Below are 3119 nucleotides of genomic sequence, written 5' to 3' on the forward strand. Positions count from 1 at the left end.
CTAGTGGATCAGGGCTCCTGGTGTTTTCTGGGTCTTCTGCTAGTATTTCTACCATGACACATCCCTTGTCTACTCCACATTTTGCCAGATTTCTCCTTTGAGTGTCTCTACTTTAACTTATGGTATGGGGTGAAAGAATGATAAGCCACTGGTACACCTGGCCCATGGAGCTTTAAGCCTGACTTGCCTAGTGACAAAGTCAGTTGCTGATGCCAGATAGGTCTCCTATCCATGCCTCCTCAGGTGCCTCGGGAAGGGGACACCATCAGCTCTCAACATTACACCCACCACCTCATTTTTCTGGGAGATTTCCGAAAGACAACGGGCATCTGAGCTTGCTTTTGCCCCTCCTGTTGGTAACTATAAGACACAGAGAAAGACAGAGGTGGCTGGTCCCGTGGAAAAGTCTAGGGGCTTCCTTGCTTACATTTCTCATCATGTGTGTTCCTATTAATATTTACAAACTCTTCAGGCAGCTCATGAACAAATTCCCTTCTTGCCACTTTGTCCATTTCATTGCTTTACCTGGAGGAAGGTGTTTCCAGGGCAGTCACAAACTCCTTTAAGCTTAAATCACAGCATCACTGAACTTCAGAGTAAGTAGGGGCCTTGGACATATCTATCCTAAAGATTTCATGTGAGCTCATGTGGACCCTGAAGCTCAAAGAGGAGAGACGATTTAAAGTCCTTCAGCTGAGCAGGGCAAGAGAGACTCCCACTCTGCACTGGACTGAAGTTCCTCTTTGCAATAATCAAAGAATCATAAACTAGAAAGAAACTTGAAAGATCCTTGCTCTACTCCTTTAATTGAGGCAGCATTACTTCATCTTAGATGATTTCTTTTGCTGAGATCCCTTCCAAGCCTCTCTCTCTTTCTCTTTTTGCTTGCTTTTTCTCTTAATTCCTCCCTCCCTATAAGCTGTAACTAAAAAATTACTATTTTAGCCACGAGGTATGTGATGCATGCAAAAAATAAATTAGCAAAACAGAACAGTGCTGTAATCTGAAAGGACAACTGTCTCCTGGACACTGTTTCCTACCTGGCCCACAGGGACACCAGCCTGGGCCCTTCTCACGCCCCTCCTGCTGTTGCTGCCCATTTGTTTTGAACTTAGATCCCTTCATCAGGTCCCCTACGCCCCAAAGAACACCCTGTTCAGAAAGCTGTATCACTCCTCCACCCTGCCTGCCCCAGCCGCGGAATTCCAAGCCAAACAGCGCTTTCCTGCCTTTTCCATTCCGTACAACATTCCTGGGCTTGTTTCCGCTGCTGGCATGCAGCTCATAGGTAGAGGAAAATGGAGCAAACCTTTGAAGGAATATGTTCAATCATCACAATGGAAATGATGAAAAGTAGATAAAAAGTATAAGCCATGTAGTTACAAATCCTTAAAAAGATTGCTATCTCAAAACATCTTGTATATGCAAATTTAATAATTGCAAGCTTGGAAGTGTTGTGAAGCCAACACAAGCTATTTGGGAGCTGAGGGGCTGTGGACCCTCTTTCTGGTGACCAGTAATTGAGACCCAAACCAGGACTCTTTTGAGAGTGAAAAGGTGTGTTACTGACGAGGATGCCAGTGGGCTTCTAGCTGGTACTTAAATACTTTACTGAGATCAGGAACTTCATTTGTCTTTGAATATCTCTGAGCATTTCCTGAAATTAGCATCTTTGCCTTTGTGTGACTTCTCCCCCTTGGGATCCCCAGGCAGGGAAAGCCTCATCCCTCTTCCCAAGAGGACAGCTGAGCTATTTGGGAACAGCTCTCCCATCTCCTGCGTCTTTTCTTCTTCAGGCTAAACATCTCTAGGTCCTTCAGCAGTCCCTTATTTGGGGTAGTTTTCTGGCCTTTCATTGGCCTGGTTGCTCCTCTGCATGAGCTGCGTTTGGTCTGTGTTTTACAGAGTCTGGCCAGAGCTCGGTGCAGCTTCCTCCAGCCTCTAGTTCTCGTGTCTTTCAGCCTGACCTGACACAGCCGCTTCTTAGACTCAGGGAGCAGACGCTCAGCCCCCTCATTTCCTTGAGCTTCTTTTCACATACTTTCTTGGGCACAGCAGATGGGATTGGTGCTCATCAATGACAAGACCAGAATTAGGGGGAGGAACAAGGGCAGCAGTATGGGGGCTTTATTCACATCTGAGTTGCTCAAGGGCTTTATGAAATGAATATGATTCAATACCTGTGTCTCTTTTGCTATGTCAAGAGCTTCATTTCCAGGATCAGGCTACTTGGATACAAATCCTGTCTTGTCCTACTTAAACAATGTTTAAATTTGAGCAAGTTACTTCATTCCTTTGTGCCTCAGTTTCCTCCTTTGGGAGATGTAAAATCGTACAGGATCAAATTAAAAGTACTGAGAACAGCATTTGGCAACATGGTACATCTCAACCCATGCTGTAAATATTATCGTTATTATTCTCCCTGCCCTCCTTTTCTCTTGGTGCTGTTGGTTACTCTTGGGGAGATTTTCCAGAGCAGCAAAAACTGCACCTTGCATGAGTGCTTCAAGCTGAAAAGTCACCTTCTGCCCTCTAGATTGCAGGTGTCTCTGGGGGAGGAGAACAACACCTAAAGCCTGTCATTAATGCCTTTCAGGCTCCTGAGGCCTTTCATCCTGAAAGATTCCAAGGCCCTCGAATAAAAGAAGCAAAAACATTCATTAAAACATTAACAATTGCATGGCAGGTACAACAAGTCATCCCGATGATACAGCCCATTATGAAACATGCTCGTTATCTGGAGCATTCAAGCAGTTTTAAGAGGTTTTGCTTATTCCAAGTAATCTTTGAATTTCAGTGACCAGTTGAACCCAGAATCTCCTTTCCATTCCTTCTTCCCCTCTCCCTTGGCAAACCAGAGACAAAGGCTTGGTCTGAAGGTCCCCTCCAGCTCTGTTTTCTCAGATGGGGCAAAGTGGAAAGCACAAGACAAAAGAGGGAGAGGGCAGTCATACTGGATCCCCACAAAATAACATCACCAACAGCAGAGAGAAATGGGCCTTTCATCTGAAGATCTCAGATCTATTTATACTCAACATATCTGGTATCTGCTGTTAGGCATAGCTGTGCTTAATTTCTGACTTGACCCAGGTTAGAGTGTCACTTCTTAGGTGTAAACA

At 44.9% G+C, this 3119-nt stretch overlaps 1 annotated feature.

The window, feature by feature from the left end:
- Positions 1136 to 1430: a silencer, noted in NCBI's record as "tiled region #6445; K562 Repressive non-DNase unmatched - State 22:ReprW". NCBI's record gives its function as "represses a minimal TATA promoter and a strong SV40 promoter by Sharpr-MPRA in K562 cells {active_cell/tissue: K562}" and the evidence as "EXISTENCE:reporter gene assay evidence [ECO:0000049][PMID:27701403]".

The sequence above is a fragment of the Homo sapiens genome, chromosome 12, assembly GCF_000001405.40.
Source record: "Homo sapiens chromosome 12, GRCh38.p14 Primary Assembly".
Lineage (NCBI taxonomy): Eukaryota > Metazoa > Chordata > Mammalia > Primates > Hominidae > Homo > Homo sapiens.